The 23,070-nt window shown below is 38.1% G+C and overlaps 2 long non-coding RNA genes across 3 annotated transcripts in view, besides 1 other annotated feature; one reads left to right on the top strand and one right to left on the bottom strand.

Annotated features, from left to right (window-relative positions):
- Nucleotides 1-10,313, bottom strand: part of LINC02888 (long intergenic non-protein coding RNA 2888) — a 92,340-nt gene extending 82,027 nt beyond the window's left edge. For both annotated transcript variants that reach the window (NR_110014.1, NR_110015.1), the window contains exon 1: nucleotides 10,175-10,313. This is a non-coding gene — a long non-coding RNA (long intergenic non-protein coding RNA 2888). The remainder of the gene's footprint in view (nucleotides 1-10,174) is intronic.
- Nucleotides 12,571-13,770: an enhancer, noted in NCBI's record as "MED14-independent group 3 enhancer chr7:17411084-17412283 (GRCh37/hg19 assembly coordinates)". NCBI's record gives its function as "activates an origin of replication core promoter dependent on BRD2, BRD4, P300/CBP and CDK7 cofactors, and independent of MED14, by STARR-seq in HCT116 cells {active_cell/tissue: HCT116}" and the evidence as "EXISTENCE:reporter gene assay evidence [ECO:0000049][PMID:35650434]".
- On the top strand, nucleotides 13,384-22,797 carry LOC105375171 (uncharacterized). The gene is made up of 4 exons (XR_927074.3): nucleotides 13,384-13,513; nucleotides 20,833-20,914; nucleotides 22,233-22,378; nucleotides 22,479-22,797. It is a non-coding gene; the product is annotated as an uncharacterized LOC105375171 (long non-coding RNA).
- Nucleotides 22,798-23,070: the final 273 nt, after the last annotated feature.

Raw genomic sequence — 23,070 nt, 5'->3', positions numbered from 1 at the left:
GCCATTTCTTACATCTGTAAAGGGGGATAAAAATGCTAACCACCTCATATGGTTCCAGTGAAGACATTTAATTAACATATGAATGAACTTAAAGCAGTATCTGGTTCATATCAGCATTTAATATTAGCTCTTATTGTACAGAAGCTTATATTTGGCAAGAGCACAATGACAAAAATATGCATGAAAAAGGTTGAAATTAAACATTTCACAAAGAAATAGCTGTCTTTACTTGGTGGAAAAATGGACAATCGACTTTATACTTATAACATTTTGTAACAAGTATATGATAGTTTAAAAGAGGGGAAATTATTGGAACAATTATTTTTAAAATGTAGGTCATGTTATCTGTCCTTAGGAAGTTTCAAATTCAAATGAGGACTGAAGTTAAGAACAGCAGTAACTATTGTTTAGGGCAGAATGTGTTAAGTATTACCACAAAGAAAGGAGGGAATTGATCTAGCAGAGGACAGAAAAGACACTTAACAGGGAAGGCAGCATTTGGCTAAAGCGTGACTGAATTGTATTTTGAAGGTGGCATTAAGTACTTGGTAAGATTTACACTTTTAAGACTGAAAACCAATGAACACAAAGGTAACAGTGGGAAAGGAACAACCACTAAGTCACCTGGATTGGTTGGAACACAGGATACTTGAAGGGACAAAACCAGAAAAGCCTGTTTGGAATCCATGAGGGAAGGTCTAAATCTAAATAAATGTTGACTATTTCTGAAGCCAATTGGGTCTGTTCAGATTTTGATTGCCCACCAATTATCTAAAAAAGAATAGATGAGGTTTTAACTCTTATTGAAATATTGCCACCCAGCTCAGATTCTAGCTCCGCTTCTGCCGGGTACCACGACATCCTCCAAACCCTCTGCGCTTACTTTGTTCCAAGAAACAAACATTCAGTCTGTCATTAACTACCTTGAGATCGCCCAGTATTCTTACCGTGAAACTTTTTTTTCTGCCTGGGATTTATTTTTCAGAGTTAAAGAGTATATTTGGGTTCAGGAATCAATTGTGATATTTCTTGGTGTTCTTCACATCATAATTCATTTTACCATGAGTCAATGCTAGGCTCTTATTTTTTTTGAGACAGAGTCTTGCTCTGTCATGCAGGCTGGAGGGCAATGGCCCGATCTCGGCTCACTGCAACCTCTGCCTCCCAGGTTCAAGCAATTCTCCTGCCTCAGCCTCCCGAGTAGCTGGAATAACAGGCACCCACTATCACGCCCAGCTAATTTTTCTATTTTTGTAGAGAGGGGGTTTCACCATATTGGCCAGGCTGGTCTAGAACTCCTGACCTCAGGTGATCTGCCCGCCTTGGCCTCCCAAAGTGCTGGGATTACAGGTGTGAGCCATTGCACCAGCTGGCTTTTTTTTTCACCAAGTCAATGAATTACTGAGCAAAAGAATGTGTGAACACCCTATATACACAGGAAGGGCTCTCAATCTATCCCATTTTGTTTTTGCAATTCTTATGAACTGTTTTTGCATTTCTTATGAAGAGTTTTAGATATTTAACAATAATTCCCTCAGTTTCTCTGGGGGATTGGTCCTAAAACCCCACCCTCCAAGGATACCAAAATCCAGGATGCTCAAATCTTTCAAATAAACAGCATGATGTCTGCATATAACCTACACATCCCCTCCTGTATTCTTTAAGTCATCTCTAGATTACTTATAATACTGAATACAATGTAAATTCTATGTAAATAATTGTTATGCCACATTGTTTAAGGCATAATGACAAGGACAAATATCTGCACATATTCAGGACAGACACCATCATCCACTTTATTTTCCAAATATTTTGTATCTGTGGTTAGTTGAATCCATGAACACAGAACCCACAGATAAAGAGAGCTGATTGTACCCTAGCCAAATCAAATTACTTTCTGGCCTAAGATGTATTTCTGCTCGCAAAATTTTTAGATGTTAACAAAAAATAATGAGATCCAAGTTTAGAACATTACTGGACTTAAATGAATTGCATAATATTTACAGTTTAAGGCAGCTCATTTGGAGCCAAATCAGCTTCAGTGTTAGAACAAAGAAAGATGTATAACAAGATGAGGTCTAGTTGCCAGTGAGACGGTGCTCAGTTAAAGTCATGTCATGATGAAGGCCCTGAAGAACAATCTTGAGATGAGAGAAAAGAGAGACCCTCTCATATTGTGTTATATTGTTTTATACTCAGTACCTGTTTTAAGAAAAAACAACAGGGAAGTAAAATCAAAGACAGGCAGCCTCACGGCAGGCCCAAAACCGGACCTGGGCCTGCCTGGCCTAAACCTAGTAGTTAAAAATCAACTCATGACTCCAGAAACCAATGTTATTCATAGATTCCAGACATTGTGTAGAAGAACACTGTGAAACTCCCTGCCCTGTTCTGTTTCTCTCTGACCACTGGTGCATGCAGCACCTGTCATGTACCCCTTGCTTGCTCAAATCAATCACGACCCTTTCATGTGAAATCTTTAGTGTTGTGAGCCCTTAAAAGGGACAGAAATTGTGCATTCGGGGAGCTCAGATTTTAAGGCAGTAGCTTGCCGATGCTGCCAGCTGAATAAAGCCCTTCCTTCTACAATTCAGTGTCTGAGAGGTTTTGTCTGCGGCTCACCCTGCTACAGAGACATACTTTTAATCACTTTCCCTCCATGCTAGCCTGACACAAGCAGGCACATGCAATATTTGTCATTTCAACTCAGTTTTCACACTAAAAGTAACACTGGCAAGGAATTTTAAATGACAATACTCAAGGATTAGCAAAGGTGTGATACCTGATCACTGTCCTACATCAATAGGAGTATTAATGGGTTTCAAATTTTTGCAGCATAATTTAATGCATATTGTCAGAGGCCTTAAGAAGTATATACCCTATAATACAGCCATCCTACTTCTAGGAGTTTTTCTAAGGAAATAATCCTGGATGTGCGTACCCATGTAGCTATTAAAACGCTTATCACTATACAATTAGCATAGTAAAAACTGGAAACCACCAAAATGTCCTATAATTGTAGACTCATAAGAATAATTTATGACATCATATACCTATACACATGTAGCAACTGGATATAGCCACCAATAGATGTTCTGGGAAAATATTTACTGACAGAAAAAAAATGCTCATGGGTATGTCAGTTTCAGTCAACAGGCTAACAAATATTTCCTAAAAAACAAAAATGTGCCTGATGTTGTTATAGGTTCTGGAGACAAGAGGTGACAGAAGTGGAGAGAAACATACTATGAACACTAACAAATGAATCGCAGGTACCGCTAAGGGATATAGAGAAGATAAAATAGGGTAATGTGCTAGAAAATGACTGGGAAGATGGGCTGGGGCTTGCTTTGTCTGGGCTTGTCAGGGAAGGCGTATCCTCAGAGGTGACATTTGAATTGAGGCCTGAATTAAGAAGCCACATGCAGATCTGTGGAACATCTTAAGCAGAGGAAACAGTAGCACAAAGCCCTTAGGTTAAGGAGTTTGTAATGTCTAGAAGCCTGTGTATCAGAATGCTAACTAATCATGGTTATTTCCTACTGGTGGGATTACAGATTACTGTGTATTTTCTTGTATTTGCTTAACTGTAATATTCTTATTTTTCTATAATTGACATGGATTAATTTTTAATAGGAAATAAAAGTTAATATAAGTAATAAAATATTGCTTTCATCCATGTACTTTAGATGGCAGTTTCCCAAAATGATTGCTCACAGTAACAAAGATAAGGCCTTAATTTAGAAAACCAGTAGGGCTCATTCTGTCAACTTCATGATTAAAACAGTCTATTTCATATGTCATTCTTATCTTGGCCCTCTATTTTTTCTGTTTTCTCAGTGATTAAGTTGGGAAGCAATTAATTTGACCAAGGTAAGATATTCCATGGAAGCATAAGAATAGCTTAGAGTTGCATATTTATTACAGAAGCTAGGTGTAGTAACATTAAAGCAGTGCATAAATCAGGGCAAGTTTATTTGGACTCAAAGTTACAATAAACAAGTTGGGCACAGTGGCATTTGCCTGTAGTCACAGCCTCTTGGGAGGCTAAAGCAGGAGTATTGCTTGAGCCGGCTTGGGCAACATAACAAGACTCTGTCTCTAATGAGTTATGATAGACAAAATGTATCCCGCTTACCTAGTGTTGAAATGGGGGTGGGGCAGCAATCCCTCATGTATGATTTCCAGTAACACAAATCCTCATTTAGATGCAGACATGCTATACATGATCTTACAAACAGAGTTTCTAGGCACCAGCACTTACTGCAAGATTGTCAGGGGTATGTGAATAAGACATCTGCTTTCTATTGATTCTGTAGGGAGCAACTCACTGAATCATCACATTTCTTCCCACTGAAATAAGCACTTTGGTCTTTGGTCTATTTTCTGATAAGATGGTAATAAATGATCCAAAGGAAAACATTCATTTGTAATCGTGCTGTATCGTTATTCTCATTTATTTGTATTTAAATTGATTTGACTTGATCTCTAAACACTGATTCTTTGCTGTGGCAATATAGAGATACATGATTTGAACTACACGGCAGGTTAATTCACTAAAGATATAGAAGGTCTATGGAAAAGGGAGCTATTCTGTTGTAAGTAATACAAAGTTAACACACTTTGACAAAAGAAGGGAGAGGCTTTGACCTCTACTGAGCTAAATTTTTATGAGCAATTACACCACAAAATTGAAATTAAATATGTGTGGGATTTGGATTAAGTATACCTTGGGGGATATAGGAGCAGGAGGAATGGATGTTTCGGTGGGGTGGGGAGGAATCACTTTCTGTAAAATTTTGCTTTAATTTGGCTCTGCCTAAGGGATTTTTAGGATTTATCTGATCTCTGAAGTTCTATTCGACTTTACCATTTAATGAAAAGCAGAATATGTTCAGTGTTAAAAGGGGCTCACTGTGTGGAAACTAATTAAAATGGAAAGTTTACAAGAATATTTATATTAAATATTTTTATCTACTCAGTTTTCTTTTAGATACTTCTATTGTAAAACAAAAACAAAAACAAAAAACAAAAGTTCTTAACCTCTCTGAAGCTGTTACAAGTTTACGGGTTAAAGTAGTTAATAAAACAGACAGATATGGGCTTTCTATAGACAAAAGGACCTCTGAAGTCTTGGTAGGACAGATGATAAAGAACACCATGTTTGCTTGGATTACACATAAATAAAATAAAAATCCATCAGACAAGCATCTTGAATAATAAATAGAGCATTTGGTATTATCTTCAAGTGCTAAAAAATGATCTTTGTAGTTATTTTTATATAAAAATGGTTGCTCTTCAAAAGGCATGATAAAAATATGGTTTTCCTCAAAGGAAATCTCATGGAAATCACATAATCATTAAATGAATTGCTGATTTGGATCTATTTTTGCAAGATTGCTAGTAAAAAGTCAGGATTCAAAAAACAGTGGTAACTTATACACACAACTACTTATGGGAATTAATCAAGAAAATTGGAAAACATGAACAAAATGTTGTAGGATTTTCTACCTAGTTCAGCTAAAAATGGGGTACTTGTCACATTGCCATAAAGTATGAGGCTTGCAGATACTTTCAAGGTTGAGAAAATGCAATTTATTGGGCAAAAAGGAAGAAAAGGGGAAACAGGTACCCTCAGCAGAGTGAGTCCTGCTAGTATATCCTTCCTGCCTCGCAGATTGAATCCCAGGTTCCTCCCAGGAGAGAGGAAGGGCCAAGCTCCTCCCTGCTGCAAATGGCACAAACTTCTGTGGCTCCACCCCAACGTGCACACTTTCCACTGCACGGGCTGGTTGGAATTTTTCCAGGAACCCCTTCACACTTGGCTGTCTCATTAAGTGATATAAACAAACATCGAATATGAGTCCATTATTGCAGATTCTGCCTTGGATATGACAAACACCAGTCAATTGATTATTGTGTGCAAGTAGTAAAATAGACAACCTAGGAGTAATTTTTACCATTTTTTGCCAACTGAAGGCTATGACTTTACTTGACTTTACTCAACAAAGAAGTTCTGGACATTGTACCTTGACAATGAACAACTGACAACATTCATAGTCTTTTGACAGTAGAGCTGTAATGAAAGATATAGACAGCATTCTTTTTTAGTAAGTACACGGAATATGTCTGTGAGCAGCTCATTATCTAAGTCTCATGAGATGAGGACTCACCTCCAGGACACCCTGAAGTTGTGGACTATTCGCATACCTTTTCAACAGTTCTATATTTATATATATATTTTCCAGGTTTGTCTCAAAGGCGCAGTATTTTAAATACACACATCAAATTGGATTTTTCTTTAAATGATCTAATTTAATGAGATGGTCTATCCATTGCAAAGTTTTTCAGACTTTGGAAGATGGGACAATGATATTTTAAATTCTCTAAAATATATTTTAGAGATGCAGAAGAGAAGCTCAAACTCAAGATATGACATTTATTTTAAAGGTTGATGAAGCTCAAATATACCATTTTAAACTGCAAGTTGTAATGACATTTTGGAACATTTCAATAAAACATAAAGTACAGACTCTTAAACTATTTTGTCTTCAGACTTATTACAGAACTAAGTGAATAAAATTCTTAGAATATAAACAAAAGCAATGAAGTTTATTAGTAAAATCAAGAAAAAATTATCCTGACATCTAGAAGAATATTGAAACAAAAATTTTTCATAGGTAAACTGCAATGGGTCTCTAAATTTTAGAAGGTAATGAATGACTACAGATGCTTCTATCGCTCTACTCTGGGCTGTAGAGCTCCCTTCCTGTCCTTGGAGCACCTCACAAGCAGTCTATGTCTTGTGACTTCAGGGATGCACTATGAACCATAGCATTGGTGTTGAAGAGTGGATCAAGTAAAGTTTGTCTTGTTTCCTCTTCATATACAATGTAAACTTACATTTCTAAGTTCTGGTATTAACTCGTGTACTCCAGTAGATTCTCCTGTGCACTTCTTGGGAGGCAATAACCACACTTGAGAGAGTAATGCTGTTAAGTGTTTTCATGCTTTAAATTCTAAGACTTCAAGATTAGGTCACTATCACTCTTCAATCCATGACTATTAGGCTGTGACCCAAATAATGTTTAATTACGCATCTTGCTAACATTCCTTCTGTGAACTATAATCAACTTTGCCTTAACACAATACTTAAAATTGGCCATTTAATATCTTATTAATCCCTTGGTCTCTGGGGAAGAACAATAAAGATGATTGACTATTCTGTATGTAATTTGCCTAAAGATTTAACATTTCTCCACATGTTTAAAGTATTTAGGGACATGTATTCTAACTTATACTTAATAGACATTATTAATGAAAATATACTACCCATAGAATATTCATATACCAAAAGCTGCATTGGAAGAAAGTAGTTTGGGATAAACCTTAGGATTTATCATAAAACCCCAGAACTAAGAGCTGTGTGATTAATAGAAAAGCACAATCTATTAGACATGCTTCCCAGCCGTTCTCAGAACTTTGTGATCTGTGGTCACACCCAGAGCTGAGAGACCAGCTGAACTTTGTAATTGAACTTAATATGGTTAAATCAGTTATTAATATATTTCTATAATTTTTTTCAGCTTGTATAGTTAATCATTAAGATAGGCAGAGGTGGACCCATAAAGGGACCTAAAGAATAAAGATAAAATAAAGATAAAGAGAAGGGAAGGACCCAAGCAGGTTTCTCTGTGCTTCATTATTTGGTAATCTTGGGAAAGTTACTTTCTTTTAAATTACCTTATTTAAACTGGACAATTTGTACTCCTTTTTTTTTGAGATGGAGTCTCGCTCTGTCGCCCAGGCTGGAGTGCAGTGGCACAATCTCGGCTCACTGTAATCTCCGCCTCCCAGGTTCACGCCATTCTCCTGCCTCAGACTGCCGAATAGCTGGGACTACAGGCACCCACCACCATGCCCAGATAATTTTCTGTATACATATATATATACACGTATATATATATATAAGTGTATATATATATGTGTATATATATATGTATATATATATGTGTGTATATATATATACGTATATATATATGTGTATATATATATATATATACACATATATATTTATTTATTTATTTTTTAGTAGAGATGGGTTTTCACCGTGTTAGCCAGGATGGTCTCTATCTCCTGACCTCGTGATCCGCCCACCTCGGCCTCCCAAAGTGCTGGGATTACAGGAGTGAGCCACCATGCCCGGCCCAATTATCATATTTAAGATACACCTGAAATGTAAGTTTCTACAGAAATCCCTGATTTACTTAATGGTAATCAGATAAAAGCTTTTGCCTTAATGCTTTTTATTGTGCACCTGAAAAGAATTTTACACCCATCACTAGGACCCTTCCTTATCACCCTGGGAAGAACAAATCTCCTTTTCTGAGTGTTCTAGAGAGCCTCAGGTGACAAAGTTGCTACCTATCACAGTTGGCTGCAGACGAGGTACAACTTTCACTTTTCCTTTAATATTTAGTAGTTTTCATTGCTCAGTGTTAAATCTACCTACCATATTCAGGAGATTCATGAGTTTATGAAGCTAATCCCCCAAGTCAAGAATGTTTCCTCTATAATTGAGGCACAATAATCAGGAAATTTTAAAAGACAGTCATGAAGGGAAAGAATGTTTCTTACCAATAAAATGTGTGTGCTCTCCCAAGCATGCTGTGTTATAATTTTTTTAGATTTGGACAAACATCTAAAATATTCCCAGAAATATTAAAGAACAGTAAACATCAGTTTAGGAAACAACTTTTGAACTACATGGAACCAATGTAAAAACTAAAGTTACATTCATTCTGAAAATGGCAACCAAATGAAAGGTACTGTCAGATCTTTCCAAGAGCAATATTATGAGAGGAAGAGAATAAAAACAATCATTTATGGGAAAGCATGGGCACATGTGCACACAGCCATCTACACAGATGTACTAACCCATGGTCATCCACTCGTGTTCCTCTACATACTTGTATATTTGGATACCTCTGAATGTTCTCATTGCTAAGTTTAGCTATGTATTTTTACATGGGCCTATTCATGTCGCTATTTTTCTATATCAACCACTTATACAAAACTCCCCACTCTGTCCAAAACATACAGACCAAAGTGACAGAACATGGACATTCACAACAAATAGGCTAATGGACAGCCTCAAGCTCTTTTGTTTCCACCAGTTGAGTTGTGTCCTGAGATTCAATTTATTTGTCCCAAACCTGAGAATAAAAATATTACAAATGAAATGCAACAAGAAATTTACTGCTCCTATGAAAATTTGGTTAAAAGTATTAAAATATTTTGACAATGGAAGTAATTAAAAATGTTTTTGAATTCGATGTGGGCAAGAAAATTGTTAAAGATTCGGGAGGAATATATTAACATTCTAGGAAGATTCTACACTCTTTAAAAGTGTCTCAGTTCTCATTCTATTTTAAAAAGTGGTTATAGTAGTTGATGAATTTCAGGTGTGGGAGATACAAGAAACACAGTGACAAGTTCTAGCAGTAGATCCTTTTCTAAAGACAAGGACTTGTAACAACCTGTATACCAAAAGATCAATTAAAAGATGCACATTTGTATGTTTTAAGTTAAAAAAATTTAAGGTGTGTATACATGTTTTAAGGACTCCCTGCTTTAACCACATTTTTCAATTAACCAGTTGCCTATTAGTCTGGACCTCATCATAGAAAAACTCTCCTAATACAGATAACTTACCTTGGTCCCATCCTACCAAGTGCTTGAGTCACCTTCTAAAAAGATGTACATGTTGCATGAAAGTATAAAATCAAAGCTGAGGTTTTAAGGAGGAACGGAAAAAACAAGGAGAGACCAATATAGCCAGTTTTATTCAGTTATGAGATTTGGGTCAGTTTAGTTTTCTAATGCCAAAGCAAAGAGACAAATTGACCGCAAGATTCATTGCATCCAAATTAAGAAAAAATAAAAAATGAAAAAGTGGTTGCTCAGGCAAAGCACAGCTTTTCCTGATATCAAGAAAAATCTGATAAAAAGTGGATCAATCTAGCAAAGTTGTTTGGATACTAACTATAGCTGAAATAAGGTACATTCATGAAATGTTTGAAAAACTAAAAAGAACTTCATTATATGGCAGTACTTCATCATAAATTTCCAACATAACCTTGTACTAATAGCAGCTCATTTACTGAGCACTTACCTTACCAGGAACAGGGTTCACGGCTTATGTGGATGATCTCATTTTGTCCTCACAGCATCCTCCTCACAGAGGGTGGGTGCTATTATTAGCACCATTTTAAAGAGGAGGAATCTGAGTCCCAGAGGCCAAGTAGTTGGGCCAAAGTTGTAGGGCTACCAAGCAGAAAACCAGCTCCAGCATGCTAAACCACTTTCCAGCACAAGGCTGAACTTTTCCCTTCTCAAGTATTTGCAGTTCGTGCTACTGAGCCTACTCCTTGGACAGCGTCCCTCAGCTGCTTTTGCTTGCAATCGTTCTCATACCCGACTACACACATATTAGAATTACCTGGGAAGCTTTAAAAAACAAGCCTTTTGGCTCCACCCTAAGTAGCTCTGATTCAATCCATCTGGGGAGGGACTTGGTATCAGTATTTTTTTTTAAGTCACCTTAGGTTGTTGACCATTGAAGGTGAGGTAAACACCTGTTTATACTTAACGATAAATGAAGATTTGCAAAATAAGTGTCCTGTCAAATACATTGGGGGCTGGTGTGATTGCACAATGGTCCATTGTGCTGCTGCTCTTGGCTGGCCCTATTTTGGGCAGCTCTAATGAGAGTTGATACACTTATAACACCTCACTTTGTCAGCTTTGTGGCTTCAGTCACAATTCCGTGTTAACACAAAAAGTTTCGTTGACATTACATTACATTAATTTGTGGTCAGCCTTGAAAGACTCTTCTGATTATTTTTGCTATGTAACAAATCATCTCAAAACCTAGCGGCAGGTAACACCACCATTTCATCATGCTCACAGATTCTATGGGTCAGAAACTTGGACATCGCAAGGCAGGTGTGGTTTATCTGTGCTCCACAGTGTAGCAGCTCCAGCTGACTTGATTGTACTGGGCAGGAATTATCTGGAGGCTTCTTCATTTATAGATCTTGCCTGGGCTGGAATGACTTGAAGGCTGGCTGCAGCTGAGACTGTCAACTTTAACACCTTACACCTGGGCTCTCCACACGGCATGGCCTCTTCCTCATACCTTCTGAGCCTCAGGATAGTTAGGCTTTTCACCTGGCAGCTTGGGGCTCTGGGAGTGAATGTTTATTCCACCTGACATCCATGGTCTTTTCAGCTTCTTGGTTTTTTCTGTCCCTACTTTGGACAATTATTTTGCATAATTTCTGCTGAACTGTAGTGGTTAAAAACAGTCACAAATTTCCTCAAGAGGAGGAGACCAAAAGCCCCACAAGTGCTTTTTAGCCTCAAGGATAAAATCCATTATTACGTTTCCTTCAAAGTATATAATTACCATCTTAATAACTGTTTAAATATTTATTGAATAAACTGGTAGAGCCAATTCATTATATAGTTTATAATGGTTTTTATACCTGTTGGAAGATAAATACAACTGTATTTAAAGTGCACTTTGCGGTTGGGCGCGGCGGCTCACACCTGTAATCCCAGCACTTTGGGAGGCCAAGGCGGGCGGATCCCATGAGACCAGGAGTTCAAGACCAGCCTGGGAACATGGCAAAACCCCGTCTCTACTGAAAATACAAAAATGAGCCAGGCGTGTTGCCACGCACCCGTAATCCTCGCTACCTGGGAGACTGAGGCATCAGAATCGCTTGAACCCGGGAGGTGGAGGTTGCAGTGAGCCGAGATGGTGCCACTGCACTCCAGCCTGGGTGACAGAGTGAGACCCTGTCAAATAAATAAATAAATAAGTAGTGCATTTTGCAGTGCATGTACTGTTACAATCTAACTGAAGTATTTTATTGTTACCCCTGCTTAAAGCAGTATAGATGCATAACTATGTCTGTTTAACTTCATTCCATAGTGAGACAGAGACACTTGGTTTCAAACATTTTTCCTTGAATATTACTGTGCAAGTTGTGCTAAAACATAATAAAATAAATAAATAAATAAATAAATAAATAAAAAATAAACAAAGTGCCCTTTGCTTAGCAAAGAATGCATCTAATCAGGCTCATTCAGGGTGGTCAGAGCAGGTTGCTTATGGAGAAGAGATCCACGCCACACTCTGCTTTCAAACAGCTTTTCATCAATAGATAGCATTGCTTATAAATGGGGTCTGGGAAAAAATAATGGCCTCAGTCAAGCTAATCAATTTTTCTAGATAATAATCCAAAGTGAATGTTGTATAGTATTATTACTTACCAATGTCTGTGATAAGTACAGCCAAGTTTGGGGTTTTCTGGATACTTCTTTTAGTTTTCCTTTAATTTCCAGGGAGCAGGTTATAATTACAGGGCCTTTCAGTGATGTTTTAAGGATTATTTTCATCTCACTGCTGCGTTTCTTATAAAAATGGAAAGTCCCAGATTTGTATTGGCAGATTGGATTAAAATTCATCACTCGCTGCATTTTTTCCAGGTCTATTTCTTAATTACTTAAACTGATTTAGGTAATTAGTTGGCTCTGTACCAATCCTTTACTAAGTTTAGTTTGAGTTTTGTTTCAGTGTTGTCATAGGATGAATAATGGCCTCTTAAAGACAGCCAAGTCCTAATTCTCAGAACCAGTGAATATGGGTACCTTGCTTTGTAAAAGAGACTTTGCACGTGTGATTAAGTTACAGATCTTGAGGTGAGAGATTATCCTGGGTTGTTGGGTTGGGCCAATGTAATCACAAGAGTCTTTATAGGAGGGAGGCAGGAGATCAGAGTGACTCACAGCAGATAGAGGCAAGAGGTTGGGATGACATGAGAATGAGGTCAAGAGCCACAGAATGCAGATGGCCTGAGAAGCTGATGGAGGCAAGAAAAGAGATTCTTCCCACGTCCCAGAAGGAACCAGCCCTGCCAGCACCTTGACAGTAGCCCAGGGAGACTGATTTTGGATTTCTGACTTCCAGAACTATAAGAGAAAAAATTCTCATTGTTTTAAACCATTCAGTTTATGGTAATTTGTCACAGTAGCCATAGGAAACTAATACAAACATTGACGTCATTCAAGACATACAGCTGTACATTTCATTTGATTGGTTGAACTATTGGGGTTAATATTTATTCCTACACCAAGTATCTAAGTTTACTTCATTGCTGTCAAAATGCAAACTACTGTTGGCTTAGATTTTATTGATGACTTGAGAAAATGTTATATATGTTCATCTATAAGGAAACCACTAAGTTAAAATTCAGAATTAAAAATCAGATAGAGTGGCTAGTCATCTTACTAAAGGTTGTTTTGTTTAGGCAAATTTGCTGCATGAGTCATAAATATCATGGAGCCACACTAAAACATTTCAAAAGTGAGTCAACTTACAAAACTGCAATTTGCTTCCAAACTCTTCAAGGACATCTATTGCATAAAGAAATCAAGCAAGGAAGTAAGTAATGAATGTAATGAACATAATGAATACTTAAAATCCATTCAAATTCTCTTAAAAAATTTTTTTAAGCGCAAAGGGCTGTAAAATAGGCTTGGCATTATTAGCCAAACCCTTTTCCTTAGATTCTCCATTTGTGCCCAAATGTACCGAGTTATTGTAAAAATAAAATAGATAAATTATGTGGCGGTGCCTAGATTAGTATCTGGCACATGGTAGGTGTACAATAAATATCAGCTGAGTGTGAATGGAAGGGGTGTTGGCAGCTGCGTAGCAGCAGATCTTGTTCATTGGCAGGTGATGGATGCCACCTCCAGCTTAGAACTGAGAGAATGCCTTTTCCTCCCTTTCAGTAAAAAAGAGGATAGAAAAGGTCCCTTCACTCTGGCCCTGTGCCAGGGCCTCCAGTTATTAATATTAGTACAGTAAATAACTAGTGTCTGCATGACATGTTTTCAGGCTGTCACATCTTAACAATGTTAGAGAATCTGTGAACAAGAAGTGAATTTTGAAGTACTTAATATGTGTTTTACTTCAGAGTTCCCTTAACAGCAAGACAACAGATCTAAGAACAAGTGGTTATTTTAGTAGATCACTTTTGTTCAGCATTTAGGCAAATACCTGATTGATTAATTGCTCTTTCTCTCTTCTTTTTGTCAGTTAAATGTTAGTAAAACATTCTCTCTCAAAGTGATGTGGAGTGTATTGTAAGCGGACTTACTGTCATTGACTGTACACATGAGCTGTTCCAGAATTTAGCTACATGGCTGAGAAGCCATGAGTAAAGAATAGGAAACACTTTTTTTTTTTTTTTTTTTTTGAGACTAGGTATCCCTCTGTCACCCAGGCTGGAGGAGTGCAGTGGCACGATCACAACTCCACTGCAGCCTTGACCTCCTGGGCCCAAGGGATCTTTCCACCTCAGCCTCCTGAGTAACTGGGACTACAGGAGTACCCCACCACATCCAGCTAACTGTTTATTTTTTGTAGAAACAAGGTCGAGGCTGCAGTGAGCCATGATCGTGCCACTGCCTGGGTGACTGTGAGACTCTGTCTCAGTGTGTGACCCCCAAATGCAGTAAAGCTCTCTTTCCAATCTGAAACTATATAAATCAATGTTTTAAGCTAGTTGTCCTTTCCAACATAGTATAAATTATTTTTGTAGAGGAGTGATTCTCAACCAAGGGAAATTTTGTCTCCTAGGGGACATTTGACAATGTTTGGAGACATTTATGTTTGTCACAACTGGGGGTGGAGTGCTACCAGCATCTAGTGCGGTGAGTCCAGAGATGCTGCTAAACAACCTTCTGTGCACAGGACAGCCCCTGCAACAATGACCCCAAACATCAGTAGTGCCAAGGCTGCGAAACCCACGAATAAGCTCATGTAGGGAATGACATGGGTTAGGGAAGGGAGCTTGTTATGAGCGAAAGCTAGCAGTTGTGTTCCCTGTGAACATTTTGCTAGTTGCCTAGCTGCAATTTCGCAATGTCGATTATTACTTAAGAGGAAGTAAAGCATGCTCAGACTGAGTGGGAGATGCAGATGTAAACTTTCTTAACTATGATAAGGTTCCTCTGCCAAGGACACTTAGAAATATGATTTGTGCATTTACAGAAATACAAAACATTTAAATGATCCATCTTCTCAGTTTTACTTTATTTCTGAAGAAAGCACTTGCATGAAATTCTATTCTTTTGCTATTCTTAGGCATAGCAAAAGAATTCTTTGATGGGAACTCCTCACCATACCAGGAAATGTATTCACAGTGGAAAGCCCTACATACTTTCTTGTGGAGGCTCAAGTCCACCCACACTAGGCAAGGCATTGCCTATAAATGCTCAATATTCAAAAGCGTAGGCCAGTAGTTGGGTCACCACCTGGGAGCTTGTTAACAGTGCAGAATCTCAGGCCCTACCCGGACCTACAGAATCAGAGTCTGCATTGTAACAAGATTCTTCAGGGATTCCCACACATGTTCAAGATCAAGAAGTACCGGAATGATCTTCATTCCATGGTAATAAAGCCCTAATATTTGAGATTGCAAATAAAATGGATTTTATTCTTATCAAAATATGTGGGGATTTGTTTATGACGAGCAATGCTGGATTGGGAAAGTTGGTTTACCTCTTAAGCTTCAGTACTGTCATTTCTATAAAGAAGGAGCGAAGATGAGAAGATCTCTAACTTCTTTTCTCACATTGTAGGGAATATCATGTTTTTTTTTTTTCCAGTGTAAACACAATCCATACAGTCTGGGTTGTCCTGCTGAGGGTAAATGTGAAAACCAGAGGGTCTCTGGCCAGTAGATGCCAGAGGTGCACAGAGCTATGTTAATAAACAGTAACTGAATTCTTATGCAATTCCACCTCCAACCTCGAAACTGAGCCTACTGAAGGGGTGTGCCCCTTGGTTGGCACTTGGGCCAATTCTTTGCATTGGCATTCTCTGCCTCAATGTTTGGCTGAACATTGTGTATAAATTAACCCATTACTCAGAACCAGCACAGTCTGCAGAAGTGGGCTCTGCCTGGGAGTGCCAAGGGGTACTGGGCCATGCCCACTGCTCCTGGCCCCTGGCCACCTCACTCGAGTGTTGAAGTAGAGGTTGTCCAGCTACATTCTAGCAAACACTGTCTGAATATAGACAGGCTGGGTGTGGGAGGATCTTATAGGACAGCTCACAAAGATAAAATGTGATCTACAGTTCAACTTGTTTCAAAAACTACCTCTGGCAAGTGATTTCGGGAGATAGTACTTTTGCTTTTTTTGGTGCATTCAAGAGACTGCCTTAGTTTGAATGCTGTAATTATTTCCCACTGCACACATATATCAAAACCTCACATTGTACACTTTAAATATATATAATTTTTGCTTGTTAATTATACCTCAATAATTATACCTCCAAGCTGGAAAAACATACATATTTGGATATTAGACTACATGTGAGGATACAAAAATGCTTCATTATATATAACCTAATATTTTAAATAAAATATTTGGTTGCCCAAAATTTACAAACACATGCAAAATAGAAAAGAGCAAGAGACTGCAAGATCACACTTGCAAGCCAAATCACAGACTCCACCACACCTCTGTTCCTATAAAATAATGGAGGGACCTTGAAAGTTACTTTTCCTTTGAAAAAGATGGAGTAATTAAAGTAGAAAAATAAAAGTTATTTTTACTATAAACTTACTATATTTACTAAACTTACTATATTTACTTACTATAAACTTACTGAACTTATTATATTTTCCTATACTAGGGTATAGGAAAAATATGTTTACTATTGTATAGGTTGCCAGTGTAAACTGCTCTATGATCTAAAGTTGTGAATAATGCCACATTTCTTTGTTTACCAAGTCAAATTAGAACTAGGCCCAGCTGCCAACCATCAAGTGGCAGAAACTCCGGATTACTTTCTCTCTCTGGTCATTCAATAATTTGGAAGGCTTGAGCCTTGCCTCTGGCAGATGGTGAGGTTGGAGGCCTGGGGTTGGTGTCCAAACTGGTGGCTACTGCAGACCCCGTGCTGCTCCTCATGTCAGGCTCTGCTCACACTGGTTCACTGCCATTGCAGTCCCACATAAGTTCAGCTTCCTGCCTGGCCAGGGCAGCCCTCCACTGATGGATTCACTCCATGGTGAGGTTACTCCATTCCCACTGTCCCATTAGGAAGAGTTTGGACCTTAGACATAGAAAAGACTAGCCCTTCCACCTCCTAGAAGGAGAATGTTTCTCTTCCATACCTGGCTAAAGAGCCACAGGGTTCACTCCTCCTGCCCCTCCATGAAGGGCACCCACAGAAGAGACACATACAGGTTAAGTTTCCAGCCGGTCAGCCTGCTTTACTGAGTATGTTAACTTTATAACACTTTCTTATATCTAATTAGAGATAGAACTGATATTTGAGTCAACCAAGGAACTTAAAAAATGCAGATGGATCTCTGCTGGAGCAAAGCTGTGTTTTTTAAAGCTCTGTGTGTGTTTCCAGTGATCTGCTGGCTTGGGAATCACTGGAGAAAAGAAAAGCACATACTTAGGAGTCAAATAGCCCAGGATTGTGATTCAGCTCTGCCACTCACTGTTCCTGTGAACTTGGGCAAAAAATCACCTCTCTGAAACTGTAATTATTATTATTTAATTTGTAAAATATGTTTAAAAAAAGAATCTCAGTCTTTCTTCTATCACAACGGTAAAAATTATAAAGCAGTCATTACTACTTGATGAATTTTTAAGCACTGTATTGGGAATTTGCTTTGTTACAATCTAAACTGTTTGGAGAGCAATTGGCAGTTATTTTTAGATATTTTAAATGTACGTATCCTTTGTTGCTGATATGTCAATACTAAGAATTTAATGAACCAAAATGTCTCCAAAAGTGCACAAAGATGCACATACAAAGATAATTATTTCTGCATTGTCAAATAGTAAAAAAAGTAAACAGCCTAAATTCTCATTAATAGGGAATAGATTAGATAATTTGTGTTGCAGGAATACATTAAATCACTATCCATATTCTTGTAAAAAAAATTGACTTACATATACAATCATGCAATCAACACCTTAACAGTGAAAAAGCTACACACACACACACACGCACACACACACACTACATTGAAATGATTGCTTAGAAATAGAATATGAAGGTATGTATTAATATCTTCATATTCACAGGTCATTCAAAATGGCTACCTTTGAAGACTGGCTTAGGGAGATGGTAATTTCGCTTTATTTATTTATCTATTTATTTATTTATTTTTGAGATGGAGTCTCACTCTGGTGCAGTGGCACGATCTCGGCTCACTGCAACATCCACCTCTTGGGTTCAACCAACCGCCCGCCTCAGCCTCCCAAGTAGCTGGGATTACAAGCATGTGCCACCACACTGTGCTAATTTTTTGTATTTTTAGTAGAGACGGGGTTTCACCATGTTGGCTAGGCTGGTCTCAAACTCCTGACCTCAAGTGATCCATCTGCCTCGGCCTCCCAAGTGCTAGGATTACACGTGTGAGCTGCTATGCCTGGCCTTGCTTTTTGTTTCACACATTCCTTTACTCTGAAATTTTTGCAATAGCAAGAGCTACTTTTGTAGATTTTTTTGAATGTTTATTAATGCTTGACTTTGTACAGTGGACATATATTATTTCTGTAAGCTGAAACAACAATACAGATGAACAATTTTTGATTATATAATATTACCAATCCTACCACTGTTTGGTCATCAACATACTACAAACTGTTATTCACTGCATATAATTTATTGTATCAAAGGCCTTTTTTCTCTGGACTCTGCATGAATAAGTGGCTTCCTTCTAACTGCCACATTGTGCCAGGTGATCGACTCTACAGAGTAAGCAGCCATTTACTAATTTCATGGGGGCAGTTGGAAAAGAGAAAGACACAGATGTGACACAGGACTTCTCAGAAAACTACCACTTAAGTCCATTTCCTGGACTTTCTTCAACACAGCAAACTCTGTCCTTTTGAAAGTGCTCCTTCTTCTATTAGTGGCTCTCAACTAAGGGTGATTTCCTCTCAATTCCAAGGGAGCATTCAACAATGTCTGGAGACATTTTTTGGTTATTACACCTGGAGGTGGGCGTGTTACTGATATCTATAGGTGTAGAAGTCAGGAATGCTGCTGAATGTCCTACAATGCACAGGACAGCCTTTTCTACACAGAAGACTTCTCTAGCACAAATAGTGCTGAGGAAGAGAACCTTGCTCTACATAGAGATGAAAGGGGCATTCCTTTTAAGTGGTGAGGAAATGCTATGCTTGCCTCAAAAAGTCAGCTTGTACCATTCATAACTGTATTGATGGTTTGTGTCAAACTTTTTAAATTCTCATGGATTTTTAACTAAAGCAATTAAGGAGAACTGGAGGTTCTAGATCCTTTAATGGGTATATTGCCACCATCATAAAATCAGAAAAAGAATCAGCTACTATGAACTTTATTGACGTGAATTCCAAATTGACTATGAATGTTAAATGCTCTCTCAGCATCAGTTATATCTAGTACCACAGCTTCTAGCTAGACAGGGTTGTGACCAGAATAATTTTTCTTCCTTTCTTTACATTTTTTGGTTTGTTCTTTTTTCTAAATCATTCTCAAAGAGTGTGTGTGTGTGTTGGGGGCAGAAGGGATGGAGAAGGACTTGAATTTGATTAGAACAAGAATACATTAAATAAAATTGTATGTAGCATGAACGGAAGATCTAAATGCAAAATAACAGCAGAGAAAGTGGAGAGTAGCAGGTTAACACAAGCTAGTGAGAGGTGAAATGATAACACAATTGTGCAGACATGTAAGGACATAATTCATTACTCTAGTGGTGTCCTGATTTGGTTTTGAGCTTCCTGGTGTTTGAAATAAAAAGGGAATCATTTACAGTTTGTTAGGGAGAAAACAGGCTGTTTTCTTAGTTCTAACACTTAAATAAAAGGCCTATGGATCTTTTCTAAGAGGTTTAACTACGTACCCTAGAGTAAATAGAGTAATATGTCTCATAAGGAAACTAAGACAAAAACAACACAACAAACCTCAGTGAAACACTTTCTGCAGATGGCCCAAATGATAGAGCTGAACCACAAAGAGTTATCTGATAGTCAACTTTGAGCGGAAGAAATTTTAAGAATATCTTTATAAGTGATGTGGAGAAATGACCATATCACTTATAAAGATTATATACTTTAGGTGTGGAGATAACATTAAACTCTTCCACACGGTGAAAAGCTAGATTAGGGGATGGGGTAGAAGAGTATAGGAAATTCTTATAAATCTCTGTGCTTAGGCAGAGAAATGTCAGATAAGTTTAACGTGGACAGATGCATCATTTGTATTCCAAAGACTATCTTAAATAAGAACTCTGGGCCACAGGGATCATACAAGAAAAGAGCCTGGGATCTTTTATCATAAATCAGGTTTTATTTAAGTATTTTCCTTGGAATGCTAGCACCATGTGATAAGCTCTGAAAATGGTTTCAGTGTCAAATGAGTTTGAAAAATATTGCATACCAAATTCCACTTTTTGGAAAATTACAACATATATTAATACATTAGAGACCTGCAGAAAAGGAATCTGGTTAACTTTTATTTGCCCAGTGTTTCCCAAACTTATTTGATAATGAAATCTGCATGTTAACATCTTGTGTGATTGATATTCTGTAAAACACATATTGAAAAACATTTTGTAGAATGTTTCTGAAGATATTGACTCAATGTATTATTGAGATTAAAATCACCAAGAAAATGTCATAGTGAAAAATGTTACAGGAACAGTGGACATTAACTCAGTGTTCTTGCACACCCAGGGCCAGAATAGAATTCTGGTATATCTACACTTCAAACAAGTTTACAATGGAAGAATGGCCTCCTCAAAACCCCAAACAGCTGGTAAAAATTTATTATCTATTAAATGTCTGGCACATGGGTGATACTCAGAAGTGAAACTTCCTTTCTATACTATAAAGTACATTGGGTAATTTGACTTTTGAAATGAATTTTTAAATGCTGTAGTTTGCAAATGGAAGGAAAATATGGGAGTCTATTATCCAAGTATTGTGTTTTCATTTTAAACTGAAATATTCTCATAACTTTTTAAATATCCAATTTGCAATTTAAGCTTTTCCTTCGACACGTACACAAATGTAAGAGTAAATTTTGTAAGTGGCAGAGGCACACATAATTTTCCAGAAAAGATGGAATTCTGGAAAGAACAAAGAGAGTCATCTTGAATGTCCTATAATAGATGGCACTGATGTCCAATGAGAGACATTTAATTTCATATCTCACTTGAATCAAGGAGAGAAACCCCCTGAAAGATTGGTCAGCTAAATAGCTAAATCATTCTAAAATTTTGTTATATTAATTTACTATACAAATGAGAGGCACTTCAGACAGAATAAGCATTAATTATCTCACATTCTATTCTCAATTTCCTCAACCATGGGAATAATAACTCCTCAATAGATTCTACAACAGTAATCCTGCCTTATTCCTTGGGATTAGCCCATAGTTGAACATAGAAACTAAGGGAAATTGTATATCCTTGATGCATGTAGTTAAACCAATGGTTCAACACTTATGGTATCCTGTCAAAGACCACCATGAGATATTTTTAAAAGTTTGAACTTGGAAGTCAGATGACTTGAGTAATCCTAGCTACTCAGGAGGCTAAGGCAGGAGAATTGCTTGAACCCAGGAGGCAGAGGTTGTGGTGAGCCGAGTTCGTGCCATTGCACCCCAGCCTGGGCAACAAGAGCAAAACTCCATAAAAAAAAAAAAAAAGATATCATCAGTTACTAGCTGTGTGGTACTTAATAATGTTGGATTCACCCTTTTTCATGAGAACTCACCTTCTAGTGTAGTAGTCAGAATCAATTCTGATAATGGATGTAAAATTTCTGTGCAAATAAAGTTATGAACAAATATATGCTGCACTATGTCCAGAAAAGAAGAGCTTTTGTGACAGTTTTGGGTCACTTTTCTCTTTTAATTGTCTTTTCTTAGAGCTTACTGGATGATAATATGATGATACCGGTACAAACTTGGTTTTTTTTTTCATATACAAACATCTTAAGATGTATAGCTGTAAAAAGTGTCCCCAAAATAGCTTTGTTAATTTTAAATGCAGAAGTAACACTTAAAGATGTGTAACTGACATTGTTTATGTAATGTCTAACCCACTTTAATACAGCCATTTTTCTTCCAGGAATCGGGCCAATTAGTAGGATTATTGCAAAGACCAGACATTTATCAGGACCCTTTTGCAGAAACACATGTGGGGCTGTAAGCGATGCATTTCCTGGCTTCTGACATGAGCTAAACATCTGTTCAAGGCAAGGCTGTAATGAAACTGTGAGTTGGCTATTCTTCCACATTTCTTTGCAATACCAAGGCAAGGCTGGAGCCCAGAAGGCACAACTGTCAGCCTCGTCAAGTGGAGGTTCTTTTGTAGGTCCCAAGGCATCTGAGAGTGGAGAGTGATTGGACTCGGGTGAAGACTCCAAGATGGCGATCGCCACCTCGGATACCCTGACTCAGCATTTCCGGGTTCACCTTTCCTGTTCCCGCCAACCCGACTAACGCGCATGCCCACTAGGGCGTGTCACACAGAGAAGTGCGAAACTCAACCGACCCCGCCCCTACCCCGCCCACTCCTCACCCAGCATCCATAAAAGCGTGCTGCCCCTTTGGCACAGCGCGACTTCCCTGGCCCTCCCCCTGCGGACCAGTGAACCTCGCCCGAGAGCTCAATAAAGAAGATTTTTGCCCTCTTTGTCTCTCCTCTCGGCCTTGTTGATCCACGGTGCCCTTCCATTGCCTTTCAGAGAGGAGGGACAGGAAGTGCTGCCAGACCTTCCTGGTCTTCCCCTGCAGAAGTTATCAAAGCCAGGGAGAGGTACAGAAAACAGCTCTCCTATTTTTCTCTAGCGATGGAGGAGAAAATGCATCTCTTGGCTTCGTTAAGATCTGTAACTATTGTATTAGTGTCCCATTGGTGCTGTAACAACTTACCACAACTTAGTGGCTTAAAAAACCCAAATGTA

This window comes from Homo sapiens, chromosome 7 (genome assembly GCF_000001405.40).
Source record: "Homo sapiens chromosome 7, GRCh38.p14 Primary Assembly".
Lineage (NCBI taxonomy): Eukaryota > Metazoa > Chordata > Mammalia > Primates > Hominidae > Homo > Homo sapiens.
This window is presented reverse-complemented; position numbering and strand designations above follow the sequence as displayed.